Raw genomic sequence first — 19,296 nt, 5'->3', positions numbered from 1 at the left:
AGAAAGAAGTGTTTGGGTTTTTTTAAGTACTCTATTAGGTATCAAAAGTCCCTCGGGTTTTGGAAACATGCCTCTTGACTTTCTTATCAGTAGATACTTGAGACACGTTTTGACTCTCTGTATAATCACAACAAACCTGTCTGTGCTACAGACAAAAAGAAACCAGCCAGGACAGTGGGATTTGTAGGATGAGAGGGAAGAACACCCTAAAGTCGTTTCGGCAGCACATTTTCATCCTCATGCATAAAGAAGCCATACAGGAAGCAGCCGCTCTTTGGCTTCCAATTCTCGGGTCATCTCTAAAATACTCCAAGTCACCCTCAGATCTTGGCTGGGTGACTGGGGCGCCTCAGGAAGCCCCAGGCTGAGCAACTTTAGTGACTCACAGAGGAACCCAGCCGCTGGCTGTGGTCATGGGGGAACCTAACCATTAAAATCACTAGGAAATCCTTACAGGAGAGCCCAGCTGCTGCCAGAGGTTGCACCATAGTTACCGGAAAACCCAGCTTTCAAACTGCACTTCAATAGTTTCATGAGAGCCCAACTACTGACTTTAGATACAAAGCAGCCCAGCTGCTGCCACCGGGAGGCAAGAAAGAAACAGCCATCCCACCAGCAGGAAAACGTCTTTGGAGCACGAGTCGATAAAAAGAAACATCCTCAGAACCGCCCTCCTGTGACCCTCCGACCTTCACACTCCAGGAGAAAAATTCCATAGACTTTGAAGGATGAATGAGTCCACACAAAATTTAAAAACGGGTTAGTAACAGGAAAGAAGATAAATCTAAAACACCCAGGTGTATAGGTAAGAGAAATGAGTGAAAACATTCACATTTAAATTCAACTTTGTAAAAATTAAGTTGCCAGTTCAAACCCTGACTCATACTTATTAAATAAAAAATATATATTCATCTGGTTACCCGCCACCGAGTTTCCACTGTCCTCAGACATCAAATTATCTAATTCCTTCCGTCTGCGCTCCAGGCCCCAGCCTGGGCGAATGCTCCCTGCCGGCCACCAAGGAGATCCAGAGAATGGACCAGCCGCCCAAGTGCTGCCCGCAGAGCGCGGCGGGTGAGGAGGGCGAGGATCTGAAAATGCACAGATGGGTGCAGGTGCTGCCCGCAGATGCTACTGGACAGCAGCTGGGGCAAGCGCCCACTTCTGGGCAGCCCTCGGGGCTCGGATTCCTTTACCTTTTCTGACAGCACTGAGCAGCCGCACTTAACAGGGAGTGGGAAAAATCCTATCATGATGGGATCAAAAGATCACCTTGAATTTAACTGCCATTTTCCACTTTAAGCATTTGATCTCATGTTATTTGATGGACTTTTTTTAAAAAGCCTCATGAAGTAGGAATGTCACTACTCTCATCACTTTGGTTTTGAGGCAAAAGCCAGAAAAAGGAGAAGTGATGTGTCCAAGTCCAATTACTAGTTAGGAGTGAACACCGGCCTTAAAGTGCAAGCTTCCTGGGCCCACCAGGTGGAGAAGCAGCGGCCCTCACTGGATCCTAGGAACCCATGAGAGGTGCTCAGGGAGACGGGAAGAACACGCACAGCCCCGCACACGTGCCTCTGCTGTCCTGAGCTCCCTCAGCCCAAGGCACCCGCAGGCCCTGCTCTGGGAGGCCTAGTCGGACTTCAATCGAGGCAGAAGTCTCCCCCCTGAGCAGTGCCCAGGACACAAGGAGAACAGAAGTGCTCGGCATCCGGCTGCTGAGGCTCATGGGATCCCCACAGCGTGGCGTCACCTGGGAGGAGAACACCCTGTCTGGCCTCAGTCCCTGCTTTCCCCAGCCATATCCCTACACTATGCCCACTGAGGCCCCTCAAGGCCAGGACGGGCTTGCCTTCCAGGCTCAGCCAGGCAGCATCCCTGCCACCGTGCACGCCTCTATTTTCCTGGCGAGCTGTCCTGCAGTCCCCAAAGAGCTAAAGAGTCTCCATTACACCGTTAGTTGCCTTCCCACTTTCCAGAACCCCCGTTACTGACTCTGGTGGTTCAAATCACAAGCCGATTCCCAGCTCTCCATCTGTGGGGCCATGAGAGGCACTGTGGGAAGCGAGACAAGAGAGCCAGGAGGGCTTGTCATCCTGTGCCTTGGTGGGTGGCATGTGGCTTTATTAGTCACAAAGGAATGAAGAGCACCACCTGCTAACGCACTCTCATGTGCAAGGGAAGGCAGCACAAAACCGAGTGCCAACAACTGATTTCTTCAAATTACAGACTCGACGTGACAGCGCTGCCTAGAAAAACAAAAGGCATCTCGAAGCCTCTGCCCGATGGAAGCCAGCTGACATGCTCCCTCCCGGGGGAAGCACGCACAGCCCACACCCCGTGCACCTCACATGTGCAGCCTCCAGGCCAAGCCGGCCACCTTCTTCAAGCCTGCTGACTCATTCCTTTATGAGAAAAAATGATGGAGAGACACCTGTCCTCAGTCTGTTAGCAAGAGAGCCCCTCACAGCCACCTGCAGGACTACCTCCAGGTCACAGCATCTGGGTGACCTGCTGAGAAGGAGGCTCTGCTCACTTTTCTGCCTGGAGCCCACACTGACCACACCTTCCTCCCAGCTTTCAGTCACCGTGAGGCACTCAATGTCCCAAGACAGACAGACAAACACCCACCCCTGCGTGGAGTCCACATTCTGCCTTAAGGACACATATAGGTCAGCCTCACCATTTCACCTCACAGAGAACTTGGAGAAGAGACAGCACTTGACCACCCGTGTCCTGTGTACTGGGCTGAACAGTGTCCCCACAAAACTCATGTCCTGGCCCAGGACCCCAGAATGTGACCTGACTGGGAACTAGGGTCTCTGCAGATGTGATTCCTTAGGTTGTAATGAGGTCATCCTGCAGGAGAGGGAGCTCCAAATCCAGTGACTGTCGTTGTAAGGAGAGGGACACAGAGGGAGACACGGGGGGAAGACAGCCATGGGGGACGCGGGCAGAGACTGGAGGGATGCGGCCACCACCAGAAGCTGGGAGAAGGAAAGGGCCTTCTCAGGCAGCGTGGCCCTGCCCACATCTTCATCCTAGGCATCTGGCCTCCAAACCTGCACGAGAACACAAGCCTGTGTTCTAAGCCAGCCAGGCTGTGAGCTTTGTCCCAGTGGCCACAGGAACCTGAGGCACCCTGCAAGACACAATGGGGCCAGGTCGCACACCTGCACTCACAGGGACAGGTGTGGGTGAAGTGGCCCCCGCTGCTTCCCGCTAGGAAACACCACCTGCGCTTGGAGTGAATGATTTGAAAAGAACTACAATCATCTGACAGGGCAACTCTGAAAGCATAACTTTTTACTTTGTGCAAATGAATCCAGTCTTTCTGTAACTGCTAGGAGGTCTCATGGGGATCGGCCATCCACAGCAGCATTCTTTAGATCAGATGAGATCGGGTGTGTTCAGGGTGGCATGGCCTTAGACAGCATTCTTTAGAAAAGCCCTCAGATCCGGGGTCACCGGCTTGGATGCACAGTCCAAGCAGAGGCGTGAGCAAGCCATGGATAGAAATCCTAAGAACTAAACCAATTTCTCTTCATAGAGAAAACAGGCAAATGCTGCTGTCCTGAGAGCACATTCCTTAGGAAAATGTTCCAAGGTTTTCCAAGTTGCAATGATATGCTACTTTTGCATAAAACACACAAATTTGGTTAGCTGCCCAAATTCGGGGGGTCCACCAATCCTTGGGAACCCTAAGAAAGCCAACACCCCAAAAAGCAAATTTCTCTCTCTCCCTCTTTCAATAACCTCATTTCCTCATTTTGAGAAGGTGGTACTTAGAGACTTTACCTACTGTGTGTTTCAAAATGTAGACTTTTTTCTCCAGAAAAAGAAAGAAAATCTTTCTGCTGACAAATAAGGAGAAACTTAAATCAAAATCTTCTCCCTCGTGAGCTGTCTGGGTTGAGTGAGGACAGCCGCAGACCTCTGACTGCTGAGGCTACAGGCATCACTGCAGGCTCTGAAGCAACAGCAGAGAGTAAGATGCAGTGATGTGGCCAATTCCATTCCTGCCGCTGTTCAAGCTGGGGCCTGGGAGGTTTGGTCCATGTATTTATTTGATTTGTTTTGGTTTTTTGGGCAACGATCAGCAATAAGAATGAAACTGGGCCACAGGGAGAAAAGGTAAAGCCATGCTTTTAACATTTCAGCAATTCCATCTAAGCACGAGCCACACAGGCATGCCTGGCCTGAGGTGGGGGGAGAAGGCCCAGCTCTGGTCCATACCCAGCAGTTGCTCCAGGCCCCTCCACACGGCCCGGTGGACAGGCCAGCCTTCCTCATGCAAAGTCACCCTGAAGGTCAGCCACACCATGACCTTCCCAAAGCTCGGCTCTAGAGACCAGAATTCACTGGGCATCTCCAAGGGGCCGGGCGCTGTGAGCAAGCCCAGGACCCCCGCCCCGGAGGAACTTCCAGCAGAATGACGGTGCTAGCGGACGCCCCTGCCAGGGGACCGTGCTCCAGAGCCCAGCTCAGAGCCTGGGGAGGCAGGGCCAGTGGTCCCCAAGCCATGAGGTCCAGCAGCCTGGTGAACAGAGCCAATGACTTCAGCTGTCTGGAGGATGGCCCTGAAGCCAGCGGGCCCAGGGGAGAGGGTGGTAGCCCATGCCAGGCTCCCACTCCCCTCTCTGGCCTCCAGACCCCCATCGAGGTTGGCAGCACTTCCCAAGCAAGGAGAAGCTCAGCAGGGAAGGTCAACTCATAGCCACAACATGCAGGGAATCGGGGCCTGCCCCATTCTGCCCCACGCAGTGCCTTCCACCACCCCACACGGACTCGCTGAATACAGACACAGCCACCCCACCGCCATGGGCTCTGCTCTATCGCCCTGCCATGCCCCTGTCACCTCACTGGAACATTCCCTGTGCTCGATTAATAAAAAGACCAATCGCAGCCAATGCCCTGAAAGCCCGAATCCTTAGCCTGACATACCAAGGCACTGTCTCCAAAGCAGAGCCAGCCGGCCTCCAGCTTCACATCCAAGGCCCCTGTCATCTCCCTGGAGGAGCAGGGACTCCTCACCTGGGAACAGGGCCCAGCCCTGAATGCCACTGCCCCACACAGCACAGCACGCTCATCCCACATGCCACCATCCTCTCCAAAGATCACCCGCTCCTCTCTGTCCAGGCTGCGCCTCCAACCTGTAGCCCAGCCTGACACTCCTGTGACACCTCGTCTGTGGCTGCTTTCAGAGCTGAGCAGTTGAAGAGAGACCCCAGGGCCTGCAAAGCCTGAAACATCTGCCATGTGGCCCTTCAGAAGGCTGCGGGTGACCCCTGCCCCATGACCCTCTGATCCTCGTGACCTGCTTTACTCCACCGCTGAGAAGCTGTGAGGAGGCCCCACATGTGGTCTCCCAGGCAGTTATCTGAGACTACCCTCAGGGTCCAGGATGGGTGCCCGCCAGTGTCTGACAGCTGGGACACACGCCTGGAACAAGACATGGCACATGGGAAGATGCCATGACCTGCTCACACACACGTGGGTGGGACCTGGACCCACCTCTCAGCAGCTTCCAGAAAAACCTGCAGTCAGCATGACACCCCAGTCTTACTCAGACCCCATTTTCACAGCAGCTACGGAACAGCTGAGCCCTTCCACTCCCCCACTGCTCTTGACAGAGGCTCACGGGCCACACCGTGCTTCCCAGAGGAGCAAGGCTCTTTCCTGCTGGAACAGCAGCCCCCACACGCTGAGATCCCGGATGCCCCCCGCACGCTGAGATCCTGGACGCCCCCCGCACGCTGAGATCCCGGAGGCCCCCCGCACGCTGAGATCCCGGACGCTGAGTGCTCCACCTCGCTCGCCCTGTTTCAAGATCAGATTTCCATTCACGATCCCCTGAGGCAACTCTCCAGAGCCCAGATTGCCGGAGGCTGCTGTACCCTCCCACACCCTCCCGCCAGGGGCCTCGTGTCTCTTGCGTTTGCTGCTGCTTCACTTTACATCTTTGTTAGAAGCCAGGAGGACAGCTTCTGAAGCAGACGGGCTCTGTGGAGCAAATGGACCATGGACGCTGGCAAAGAGGACCTGAGCGCCCATCAAACGCCATTGAAGGGCAGTACCGCAATCGCCACCTGGAGCAAGTCCCGCTCTTCAGAGGGGAGGGAAACATCACAGGCCGGGCTGGGCACGAAAATCAGGCTTTGGAGCTCTCCTGGCTCCCATCACAGCCAGGTCAGCGCTGAGGCCCTGGCATGGCTGCTGAGGCCCAGCCCTCTCAGAAGGAAGGAGGCAGGCGGCACTCCACCCACTTAGGAGAGGCTCAGCGGGGCCTGGGTCAGCGTGGCCAGGACAGCAGGGAAGGCCCTGGCTCTCCTCCTCCTCTCTCTTCCTCAAGAGTGGCCTACAGACAGGAGGCGAGGAGTTTTTTACCTTCTAAGGGTACACAGTAGGTATATATATGATGGGGTATATGAGGTATTTTGGTACAGGCATGCCATGAGTAATGAGCACATCAGGGTCAACCGGGCATCCATCCCCTCGAGCACTGATCCTCGGGCTGAGATTTCAAACCGCCTGGAGAAACGCAGCCCCGTGCCAGTGCTACTGATGCCAGCACCCTCAGCAGTGAAATGTGGGTCCTGACCCAGCTCCCCGCACACCCCAGTCCCCCAAGATGGGGCCCGACTTACACCGGATGCCATAGATGGTGAGCGGGTCCAGCTGCTTCTTCCCGTGCTTGCCCTGCCCCGAGAGGCTGGACACAGCCTGCACCTCGCGGTGGAAGAGGTAGTCCAGCAGCGTGAGCACCATCTCCTCGGCCGTGCGGCAGTTGGTGCTGATGTGCAGCATGTCGGAGGGGATGATGGCGCAGTGCACCCGCATCTCGGGGTTGTTCTCGTCGCCCAGCCAGGTGCCATTGGGGTAATCCTCTGAAAAACAGAAGACAGGTCCTCAGATGGCCAAGGCTCAAATAAGCTCACATTCAGGACAGCAGAGCGCTCTGCTCAGACACACCCGGGAAAGGTGCTCCACACAGGGCTGGGCAAATCCCTCCTAACTTGTGATGCAGTCACCAAGAGCGCTGGAGCCTCCGACTGCTGCCCAAGAAAGAACTGATGTGGAACAGAAACGATCCCACCACCCCCAGAAGCGGCCAGGTGCCTGTGGGGCTGCAGGGCCTTGGGACCTGAGCGCCAACACGGTCACACACTCTGCTCATCCTGGACCTGGGACCCCAGCAATACCGATATCCTTGCACACAGTTGGTACCTGCCCCAGCCATCTGCAGAGCGGAACCCTCCCTGGAGCCCCTCACACCTCACTGCCAGCCATGCTCTCCCACTGGCCAGCCACTCCCACCAAGAAAGACGCAGAGGTGAGGGGCTCTAGCATCAGCAGCCGGCTTGGCATCGCCCCCATGCACACAATGCCAGTCCCTGCCTCTGCACAGTGTAAGTCACAGCATGCCCCGGATGCCAGCATTCTCAGGGCAGTTACAATGCAGCCGCCCAGAGCAGCACATTCAGGTGTGGGAATGCGCCATGTTCTCTGCTGTCAGTGAGGCCACAGCAAGGACCCGTGGACAGGCCCATGCTCCACACGGAGGAGACAGGGTGGCCAGGCACCTGGAGTGGCCTGAGGTTGCCTGCAAAGCACACTCCTGTGATGATGGAGTGGGACTTCCCACCTGCCTGCCCAGGCAATGATGCCCGCCAGCCCCTCCACACCTCTCTGCCTCCCTCCCACCCAAGCGTGGCCTCTCAGCTTCCTAGCTGACCCTTCACAAGTCACTAGTCTTCTCTGAACCATGGACTCCTTCTCTGTGTAACGGCATCTCCGGGTTGTCCTCAGGTTGACCAAGTACAGTATGTGAAAGGCTGCCTTTTCAAAGCCTCCCCATGTGACGGAAGAAAGCTCCACACATGATCATAAACAGGAAAACTCACACTCCTGCTTGGAAGCTCAGCAGCTTCCCAAACAATCTCTTCTGACCCTGAAGTTGAACCAAAGGGAGGCTGCCAGAGTCTCCCCTCCCCCAGCACGTCCTCCCCTGTGGAAAGGTAGAAACCTGAATACCTCCCACAAGGGGCCGGGACCTAGGAGGGACACCACGCTCTGCCAGAGTCTCCAAGGCCCAGGGCTGGCTACAGTCATGCCACCCTGGGCAACGCTGCCTCAGAACGTCTGTGAGCTTTATTCTGAAATATCCCAATATTGACTTTCCGGCTCCTACAAGGGCAGCCAGCCCTGCCTGCCGGGCCAGGAAGCTTGGAGCGTGGGCCAGTAAGCCTGGAGCACAGCCGAGAAGCCTGTGGCTGCCGTGTGCTCCTAGCGTGCACAGCTCCCTCCACAGGCAGCCTCTCCCATTCCCTGAAATATAAGATTTCCATGAAATATCAGGGCAGGGCTGGTCACCCTGTCTTCAAACACACATTGTCACAGGGGCAGGGCAGTGTGGCTGGGCTCTTGGCTGTAGCTAAGGATAGAAAACAGCTCTAATTTTTGAAATTCAGGACAGAGATGATTAAGAAGCATCGATGCTCAGAGGTGGTTCAGAAGTACAGGGATGCTGCTAGGAACATACGCTCAGACGTGCATTTTTTCAGAACATCCGTCAGTCGGCCACTATTACATTCCACCTGTATATGAGGAGCAAAATGGAAACACGTGACCTCAAGACTAATGGATGGAGTCTCATGGCAAGAGCTGTCTAAAGGCCGCAGCTGCAAAGCTACGAGACTCCAGCTTCCGGGGATTCTATGAATGTATCTACGAATCCTTACGGGACACCCAAGGGCCTGGCGCTGGGTCTAAAGCTCTGCATCTAAGCTCTTGCTCAGAGTCACAGGTCAATGTCATCGAACACAGCAGCACAGGCCCTGGTCAGCAGCAGTCCAGTAAGGAAGCCATGGGGAGGGGAAGGGGAAACAGAGGGGACGTGTGAGCCAAGGCAGGAGTGGTCCAGTCTCCAAGATCTGAAGCCACATGCTGGTCACACCATGGCTAGAGATGGTCATGGACTCCATGGGACTGAAGATCTAAATGGGAATCTGCAGGGGAAACCCAAGATGTGGGAGGACAGTGGCCGAGGCGGCTCTGGAGCATTGGCACCTGCACCACGCATTTCCCAGCGCCGCATGCTTCTCCCGCATGGACGGGAGGCCCCAGACACAGCTCCCCACTTGTGCTGACCTTAAACCATGCCACAGATTTCCTGGTCAGATTAAACCTAAGGGGCTGAATCCTTCCCTGTGTCTGTACTTGTGAAGGGAGGATTTTTTAAAATGTTCTGCCTTGGGGCCTGGGCAAGGGGCAGAGATTTGCTTATGGCCCCTGGTGGCTGGGAAGCAGAGGCTGCGGAGGCCCATGCTGGCAAATGGGAACTGTCCCACTGCAAGGTCTCCCAGACTCCCACACCCGGGCTGGGCTCAGGCCAAGGTGACACCCTCAGATGCCATCCAATGTGAACCGGGGCCGCGGGAATCAGCCTCGATCCCACACAGATGCTGCTCAATGTGGGCTCCCAGCCCGGGCCAGCCAGGCCTCCTGGCAGCACTGGTACAGAGCCCCAGGTAAAGGAGCACGAATGGAGTGAAAGCCGCTGAGGCGCTAGAAGAGCACCTGAGTACCTGAGTCCCTGCGGCAGCTGCCTGGTAGCTCCTGGAGCGCGAGACCTTGGCCCCGCTCCTCCTGACTCCCAAGTGCCAGGGACAGTGGCCTGCAAGCGAACAGGGAGACAGGCAGGGGTAGAGCTGACCTCAGACGAGAATGGGTGACCCCAAGCAGGGAAGCGGGAAGGAGCCACCCAGGGGAAGAACTCCAGAGAACATTCCAGAGTGGGAAGCAGGACCAGCCTGGGCCAGGAGGGGCCACATGCTCCAGGAAGGTAAGGGAACCAGCGTGGCCAGAGCAGGGAACGTAAGGCAGACGAGGGACAGGGGAGGGTGGAGAACTGAGCAGGGCCCGGTCACCTGGGCAGAAAGCAGGCACCCACGCCCAGCGTGGTCCAAGCTGAACTGGCACAGGCAGAGGGGACTGGCAGAGGGACGGGCAGAGGGCACGAGCTGAGGGGGCACAGGCAGAGGGCACAGGCAGGGAGGCACAGGCAGAGGGCATGGGCAGAGGGATGGACAGAAGAGATGGGCAGAGGGCACAAGATGAGGGGGCATAGGCAGAGGGCATGGGCAGAGGGATGGACAGAGGAGACGGGCAGAGGGCATGAGCTGAAGGGGCACAGGGTGAGGGCACAAGCAGAGGGATGGGCAGAGGGAGCACGGGCAGAGGACACAGGCAGAGGGGATGGGCAGAGGGCACGAGCTAAGGGAGCATAGGCAGAGGGACGGGCAGAGGGATGGGCAGAGGGGACAGGCAGAGGAGACGGGCAGAGGGCATGAGCTGAGGGGGCACGGGCAGAGGGACAGGCAGAGGGATGGGCAGAGGGGACGGGCAGAGGGCACGAGCTGAGGGGGCACAGGCAGAGGGACAGGCAGAGGGGACAGGCAGAGGGCATGAGCTGAGGGGACACGGGCAGAGGGATGGGCAGAGGGGACAGGCAGAGGGCATGAGCTGAGGGGGCATGGGCAGAGGGACGGGCAGAGGGGGTGAGCAGCTGATTACAGAGCTGCTCAGTAATCCAGGAATAGCCAAGGGCCTGGTGTCAGTAGGGCTCACAATGAGGCCCACTGTCTTTAAACTTCCCAGGGTTCCCAGCACTGAGGCTCATTTAATGGGAACTCTGGGTACATGAGGGTGGTCTCCAGCGACACCAAGCTGGACTTAGGACCTGGAGATCACAAGCAGAGGACCCGAGGCAGGCAGCAGGAAGGGCAGCAGCATCCTGAGCCACCGGCCTCCCCCACCATCACCCACCCACACCGGGATGTGGGTGATGCAGGACCAGTGCGAAGATGGTGTGGGGACGGTGGGCAGGGGCTCTCAGCTGTAGCCACCAAGCTGCTAAAGATCCCTGCAGCCTCTCTCAGGAAATAACAGTGCTGAAACACACTTAGCTGAGCTCTCTGTGGTGAGATAGTATTTTTAAAGTAAACACTGGATAAGAGTTCAGAGTTGTTTTTCAAACATGAGTCAAAATCATGTCAAAGTGTCACTGAGACCCTCCAGGAGGGATGACGTGGGCTCTCCATGCCCACACCAAGAACCTCCCTGACTTAGGGTGACAGCCAGCTCCTGGGGGGGCTGCCACCCACCACCTCTGTCCTCCCCAGGCTCCACCTCAAGGCAATGTCGGGGCAGCCACTGAGCTCATCCTCTCGCAGGCTCAGGACCCACCGAAGGCCGGTGTGCAAATGTCCAGACCCAGTGCACCAAGGCTGGCCGCGCCCTCCACCCCACATGGAGCTGCCCCAGCTCTGGGTGACTCCTCCTGCACCGCAGGTCACAACGAACCCTCCCTCCACAACCACTGGCCTCGTCCAGGCCTCAACACTTCTTCCTGGCCTTTTTTCAGCACCGCAGGAGACTCCGACTCTAAACTCTGCCCCACCAGAGTTACCCAAAGGCCACCTGGCCTGTGCTCCCAGGAATCTCCCGCCTGGAGCGTCCAGCAGGACCCAGTTTGTGCTGGCCTGTGTTTGTGGCTCACAGCTCCACACCCTGTGCTTCCTGCTCAGCACAGCCACATTATGAGTGCTGACCCACCCCAGTCTACTGGTTCCCATCCACACCTGTGTCCATGGATTTCCTGTTGACAACATCACTCCCACCTCACTCCTCTAAGTACTAGAGATTTTCAGGCATGTTCTCAGACCAGCAGCATCAGCAGTGGCAGGGAACTTCCTGAAAATGCTCATTCTCGGGCCCAACCAATCAGAGGCTGTGGGGTGGGCCCTGCTTAGCAAGGAGGTTCTGAGGCAAGGGGGTTCTGACCTGTGCAAGGAGGGCCCCATGTGTAGAGACCATGAAGGACACCACTCCTGGCACCTCCTGCACCAGGAGAGCACAAAGGCCTGCTGAGCTCTGACGGGTGCGGGCAGCAGTCTAAGGACTAGGCATGGGGCAGGCCCACGTCACACTGCACTGAGGGAGGGCCCGTCCTGTTGGGCAGGCTCCTGATTCCACACCTCCGTCTCTTCAGAGGCCTCATTTCCTCAGTCCCCACAGTAACCCCAGCAGCTGAGCCAGCCCATGATCCATCTCACAGGAGAGGCGCTCAGATGTCTGCAGAAATGAATGACTCTGATCGAGGTTGCAGGCCAAGTGAGAGGCAGACTGGGAATGGAGGCAAACGCTCTAGGCCATGAGAAGTCCCTGCCTACTAACAACCAGTGATTCACACATTTCTAGTGTCTCTTCCTAGAATCCTCAAAGACTCCGAGTTTAAATGATGCCTTTACTACACTGAAATGGAAGGCACTGTCTCATACCTGCTTCCTGATATAATTTGCTGTATTACTCAACTTTTTGTACATTCAGAATTCCCTACTGGGGGGAAAAAGGGGAACAAAACGATGACTTAAACTCCCAGCCTGGAATTTGTACTGTCACACCACAGTGAATAGTTATCAATTTATCCTTTTTTCTTAGGCAGTCTATAGAAAGGAATTAACCAATAATTGAAATACAATCTTTTTAAGATCCCTCTCTCTCCTACTTTCATTTGAATGCTGACTTTCCAAGAACAGATGAAACAATAATTCCCATAAATGTTATCTGTGTTGTCCAAGACCGAAGCCCTAACTTCCATGAACATCCTGGGAGGCGCAGCTCCACGGTCACTCCTTGAACATCCTGGGAAGCGCAGCTCCAGGGTCACTTTTCAGGCAATGGCTGAGAGTGTTCCTGTCCCTGGGATTCCACACGTTAGTCCCCTGCAGTCACAGAGGCGACGAATGCCGGATTTCCGTCTCCAGCAGGACAGTGAACAAATCAGAAGGCCATCCTTTGCGAGTCACTGGGCTGCACGGTTGTTCAAAGCCTTATAGCGTGGTGTTAATTTCCACAACACAACCAACTCCATGTCAGTTCAGTTCAAGGTCAGCCTCACCATCTCCAGGTAAGTCTTCAGAGAACAGATTCACGTTAGATATGCCATCCATGCCAAAAATTAATTTTCATCCGGCTTTTGCAAAGGCTTACTCAAGCTGTTTATGAATTTCAAAAGCAACTCTGCATAAAATGAAATAAATGGTTCCAACAATGGATAACACAGAGCAAACCCACACAGAATTCAAACCTAAAGGCAGCACCGGGCTGTGTCGTTACACACATCACGGCTCAAAATGCTTCCAGCACCAGGACGTGATGAAACATAACTGTCAATAACTCATCTCTCCTATTCAACGTAGAGAATAAGAATTCTATGTGGAATGCATGAGACATTTTATCTGTTGGGCTCCTCATAATTATTTGCCCCACAAGAAAATATAATGTGTTGGGGTATGCCAGGATCCTGGGGACTAGGGACACCCTATAAAGGTAAGGCAACATTTGTCCCAAACACGCCAACTCTGGCCATCTGCTGGCTAGATGTCTATGATGTCACATGCGGATGCTTCAAAAGAACCTCCATTCCCATCAGGTACTAGTGGATGCTTAATGAATATTTGGGATGGGAAAAGGGGAGCAGAAAGATTAAAAGGGGAGGGGAGAGGAAGAGGGGGGTACCCTGAACAGCAAAAAGTGCACACTTCTGGAGGACAACTTTGAAAACCAGGTGGGCTCCTGATAGGGTGGCCTCGCTCTAAAATCAGGGACTTTATGATTATGTGACATCGTATTTGAGAATTTTAGACACCTGTAACACTGACATTCCACAAGCTACACATTACAGAGACCTCAGTTTAGAAATGGAACACTACCATTTTCTTTCAAAATACTTTTTTGGTGTGGCCTACTTTTATTTTGTTTGTCTTTTTGAGTGGGCTGTTTTCCATCAACAATTCTATTGTAAAGATTTTGCCTGTAATGCTTAAGCATTTCTTAAAGTGAAAAATAATTTAACCGAGTTAAAAGGATCCTGCGCCTCCGGGTCACGCAGAGAACCCAAGTCCAACACCAATCGGCGGCCGAGCTCTGGAGAGCTGAGCGCCTCTAGCACCTGAGAAGTTTGCTCTCCAAGTGTCTGGTCTCACAGGGCAGGGATGGAAAGGGCGTCTTTCAGGGTGGGGGAGGTGGTGGGGAGGAGCCTGGGTGAACTCCTGACTGCTCAGCACCAACATTGCCATGGGTCAAGACTGCTCCCGACACCTCCATCCTGGGGCACAGGCTGTGCATCCAGAAACTCAACCCAAGCTGCTGAGACGCCATCACCCCCACTCACTTCCCCAGACTGCCCTTCTGGCTGCTCTGTGGCACTCAGAGCCGCGACTGTTCTCAAACTGCTGTCTCCCGCTTCCCTTGGTTTTATTGTGATCACTCCTCTCTCTGCAGTCCTACTCTTATTAGCAATCAACTCAGGACTGCCATGAAAAAGTGTTTCCCTGTTACCTCACACATACGGCGCTTATGTTAAAAACACTTACATAAGATGAATTCTGTAAATAAATGTTCGAGGCATGTTTGTAGCTAAATGTTCTTTCCATGTGCATGAATGGCATTCCATGGACTGCGAGGTCTGTGACTCTGCACAGCACAGCGTGGCTACACATTCTCCTTTCCACGTGCATAGCTGGTGTTCTGTGGACTGCGAGGTTTGTGAATCTGCACAGCACAGGGTGGCTACATGTTTTTATTTCCATGTGCACGGCTAACATTGTGAGGTCCGTAAATCCGCACAGCAGTGTGGCTACATGTTCTTATTTCCACGTGCATGGCTGACGTTCTGTGGACAACGAGGTCTGGGACAACGAGGTCAGCACAGCGTGCCAGTAGCAGCTGCAGGATGGCCACAGCTGACAGCTCTCACAGCTGCCCAACTCTCCCAGCTGTGCCTCACCAGCCTTCACCAGCATCACCAAGAGCTACCACGTAAGTCATTCTACTGACTGGGAAGTCCATGGGACCAATTCCTGGCAATAATTCAGTTAGAATTCAACGACAATCCTTCCCCCACTGAAATGAAGTACCTAACATTTTATGTGTAGGATCAGTCACATTTTGTAAGAATTATCAAATGCATACACAGCAGAAATTTAAACTCTTGATTAAGAATCTAACTAAATCCCTTAATGGACAAACAGATCCCATGCTAGGTCCATTTTCGCTCAACTTGTTTCTCTGACCCAGCTGGCAGCTTAGTCATTGAATGATGAGGCCCCACACACTTTAAAGTACAAATCAAAGCCATGAGCACACCAAGACCAAAACTATGGACAAAAGGCAAGAACAAGAATGAAGACACAGTCTACTATTCCCTGCTTCCAACAGTCAGGAGCTACTGTCCTTCTTATTCCAATGAGACACAGCACTAACCTGTGCACCGACATCAGCACAGTACTGACCAAGCATCAGTGTGGCACAGCATTAATCCATGCACCAAAATTGACACAGTACTGACCAAGCATCATTGTGGCACAGCACTAACTCGTGCATGGTACTGACCAAGTGTCAGCATAGCACAGCACTAACCTGTGCACCGACATCAGTACAGTACTGACCAAGCATCAGTGTGGTGCAGCATTAACCCATGCACCAGAATTGACAAGGTACTGACAAAGCATTGGTGTGGCACAGCACTAACCTGTGAGCCAACATCAGCACAGTACTGACCAAGCGTCAGCATGGCCCAGCACTAATCTGTGTGCCAAAATTGACACAGTACTGACCAAGCATCGGTGTGGCACAGCACTAACCCATGCATGGTACTGACCAAGCGTCAGCGTGGCACAACACTAACCCATGCACTGATATCTACATGGTACTGACTGAGTGTTGGTGTGGCACAGCACTAACCTGTGCACCGACATCAGCACAGTACTGACCAAGCATCAGGGTGGCACAGCACCAACCCGTGTGCTGACATCGGCATGGGACTGACCAAGCATCAGGGTGGCACAGCACCAACACGTGCAACAAAATCAACATGGTACTGACCAAGCATTGGTGTGGCACAGCACTAACCCATGCATGGTACTGACCAAGCGTCAGTGTGGCACAACACTAACCCATGCACTGATATCTACATGGTACCGATGAAGCGTTGGTGTGGCACAGCACTAACCTGTGCACCAACATCAGCACAGTACTGACCAAGCGTCAGGGTGGCACAGCACCAACACGTGCACGAAAATCAACACGTGCACGAAAATCAACACGGTACTGACCAAGCATCGGTGTGGTACAGCACTAAACTGTGCAAGGTACTGACTAAGTGTTGGTGTGGCACAGCACTGATCTGTGCACCAACATCAGCACAGTACTGACCAAGTGTCGGCATGGCGCAGCACTAACTGTGCACTGATATCTACACAATACTGACTGTCACTGTGGCACAGCACTAACCGTGCACTGATATCTACACGGTACTGACCGAGTGTCAGCATGGCACAGCACTAACCGTGCACTGATATCTACACGGTACTGACCGAGTGTCAGCGTGGCGCAGCACTAACCGTGCACTGATATCTACACGGTACTGACCGAGTGTCAGTGTGATGCAGCACTAATGATATCTACACGGTACTGACCGAGAGTCAGTGTGACGCAGCACTAATGATATCTACATAGTACTGACTGAGCGTCAGCGTGGCGCAGCACTAACCGTGCACTGATATCTACATGGTACTGACCGAGAGTCAGCGTGGCACAGCACTAACTGTGCATGGTACTGACCAAGTGTCAGTGTGGCACAGCACTGACCCATGCACTGCTGTGATTCCAGTACTAACTCGTGCACTGTCTTCATGCGATACAGCCCGTGACAATAAACATAAGGAAAAAGGCAGGACATGACGTGAAATCAAGCTTTAAAGAGAAGAGAAAACCGCTCCTTACCCCTGCGATGCCTGGCAGTGGCGATGTGTTCACTCCAGGGTGGGGGCCGGTCTGACTGCTGGGTTCCTAGTGCAGCCGTTTGCTCTCAGCCTCCGGAGGACTCTGCAAATCACACACAGGCATTTAGGCTGAGGTGCTCGGTGGGGGTGCTGGGGAAACCAGTAGGGTGCAGCCCCCCAGGGTGGGCAGTTGCCAGGCCCCGTGGAGGAGAGGGGCCCGCTTGATGGCACTTGTCTGAAATGCACTGACTTTCCTCCCAGTCCCCACTGCTTGCTGCACCCCCACTCCATATCCAGCGAGCGTGCTTGGATGGTTTTCTGCACACTCGCTTACACGCACAGGGGCCTGGCCATCCCAGGACCTGCCCATCTGGCTTTCTGTGGCCTTGACTCCTGTGCAGGGGCCTCGTTTTCTCACCCCATCCCCCACCCCCAGGATGGCATCTAAGTCTGGATCACTCTGTTTGGTCGTTGCACTGTGCCCCAGAGGGGTGTCCACTTGCTGGCCCATGTGGAGCCGGTTGGAGGGTGCCAGGCGGCATCATGCTGGGGGAAGGACTGCAGCACTGTGGTCCTGCCGGGGTCGCTGCCTCGGCCTCCCAGGATGGACTCTGCACTTTATGGGCCTGTTCCCGTGTTTTCCAGCCCCTTGGTCTCCATCTTACAGGACTCTGTGTCTCACTTGGGCTGTGTGAGCCAGGGGCTGGGGAGACACCTTCCCCTGTTCCCCTGTGCCCCGCCTCCTGGGGGGGTCTTATCCCCTCCACCATGCCGCAACAAGAGTCAGGACCACGCTGCCAGCCCCACACTTCCTTCCCTAACCAGGGTCCTGTGAGGCTTTGGGGTTTGGGGGAAGGAGGAAATCAGGCTCGTGACAAACACCGGTTTAGAAGCTGCATGGGATTCAGAGCCAGCAGCCTGGACACCAGCCTGGTCTTTCAGTGCCTCAGTGTACCCACTCTAGTCATGAGGAGAAAGCCGCGCCTCCCTCTTGGGGTGATGACAGAGGTGGAAGGATGCTGTGAGGGCCCGAGCCACTCCAGGCACCCTCCCGCCATCAATGCCCCGGAAGGTGGGTGGCGGCAGGAGCTGTGGCTCTGAGGGGATCTCAGGAGCACTGGATTCTTGGTGCCTTCCTCAGCACCCGTCACCCCAGCTAACTCCAGCTAACTCAGCACCCATGACTCCAACTAACCCAGGTAATCTCCAAAGACATGTTTTCTTGTCTCTGGTGATGTTTTACATGTAAAAGTGCAGAGCACTGGAGGCTGGGGTCTTTGCATGATGGCTGTGCTTGCTGGGATCCACTGTTCAGCCTCCCCAGGTGCTCGCCGGCCCCTCCCCATTTTATGTAGGATCGTTCGGACTGTCAGCAAGACATAAAAAAGCAGCTGCCTGCAGAGGCCAAATGCGCGGCAGGCTCCCGTCTCCACTGTCTAATTAATTAATCGTTTCCAGGTCGCAGAGCTCGTGGGAGCATTTGTGCCCTATCTTTCCAGCCCACAGACGTGGGGGTGGGGACACCCAGGCTTCCCGAAAACCCCCTCCCACACACTCACTCTGTCTTTAAGGCAAGTTTGCTCCTTTTTAGTTTTTAAATCAGAGTGTTGGCATGTGTGCGAGCGAGTGTCCAAGCGGGTATACGCTGTTTGTAAAACAGCTCCGCTGTTGCCTGGGGGCCAGTTCTACCCCATAAGCAATGTTTGCCAGTGTCCATCTGTGAACCATGTCAGGTCCATGAGAAGGTTCTCAGGATCCTATGGCCATGAGTGAGGGCTAAGGCAATACGGCGAGTCCTCCATGAAGCTATGGTGAACGAAGTGTCCTTTACTCTAATAACTGAATAGCAGAATTGGACTGAATTCTGTAGTTTTAAAACCTTCTTCCAAGGATAACAGAAACACAGAAAAATGAGCAAGCAAGCACACCCCCACAGCCTTTTCACACAGAGCACACACATGAACCCAGAGCCTGATCCAGGATCAGGACACGGCCTGCCCTCCCCGGGGGCCCCGCCCGGACACCAGCCTGTCTTCTGAAGGCAGAGGGTGGACTGATCTGTTGTGAAACTTCTATTGGTGCAGTCACACCAGAAGCATGTGACTTCATGCAACACCATGTTTATGAGACTTATATTTTTATCTTTTATTGTGGTAAAATACATGTAACATAAAATTTACCACTTTAGCCATTTCTGAGTAAGCAGTTCAGTGGCATCAAACACGTTTCCGGCATTGTGCAATCACCACCACCATCCACAGAACTCTCTTCAGCTTTCCAACTGAAACTCTGTCTCCATTAAAGACTAACTTCCCAGCCCTGTGAATCTCACTGCTCTAGGGACCTCACACCACGGGCATTAGACAGTTTTTGTCTTTTCTTGTCTGGCTTATTTCATTGAGCAGGATGGTCCTCAGGGTCCGTCCATGTGGTAGCATGTGTCAGAGTT

General features: G+C 54.2%; 1 pseudogene across 1 annotated transcript in view, besides 1 other annotated feature; it reads right to left on the bottom strand.

Annotated features, from left to right (window-relative positions):
• The window catches only part of SNX29P2 (sorting nexin 29 pseudogene 2), a 62,773-nt pseudogene extending 45,823 nt beyond the window's left edge, over window positions 1-16,950 (bottom strand). Inside the window, exons 1-2 of the transcript NR_002939.3 lie at window positions 16,849-16,950; window positions 6,648-6,887 (exon numbers count right to left, since the gene is read on the bottom strand). The product of NR_002939.3 is annotated as a sorting nexin 29 pseudogene 2 (transcript). The remainder of the gene's footprint in view (window positions 1-6,647; window positions 6,888-16,848) is intronic.
• Window positions 5,335-6,043: an enhancer, noted in NCBI's record as "H3K4me1 hESC enhancer chr16:29324515-29325223 (GRCh37/hg19 assembly coordinates)". NCBI's record gives its function as "activates a minimal SCP1, AML or CMV promoter by ChIP-STARR-seq in primed H9 embryonic stem cells {active_cell/tissue: H9 hESC(primed)}" and the evidence as "EXISTENCE:reporter gene assay evidence [ECO:0000049][PMID:30033119]".
• Window positions 16,951-19,296: the final 2,346 nt, after the last annotated feature.

This window comes from Homo sapiens, chromosome 16 (assembly GCF_000001405.40).
Source record: "Homo sapiens chromosome 16, GRCh38.p14 Primary Assembly".
In the NCBI taxonomy this organism is placed as follows: domain Eukaryota; kingdom Metazoa; phylum Chordata; class Mammalia; order Primates; family Hominidae; genus Homo; species Homo sapiens.
This window is presented reverse-complemented; position numbering and strand designations above follow the sequence as displayed.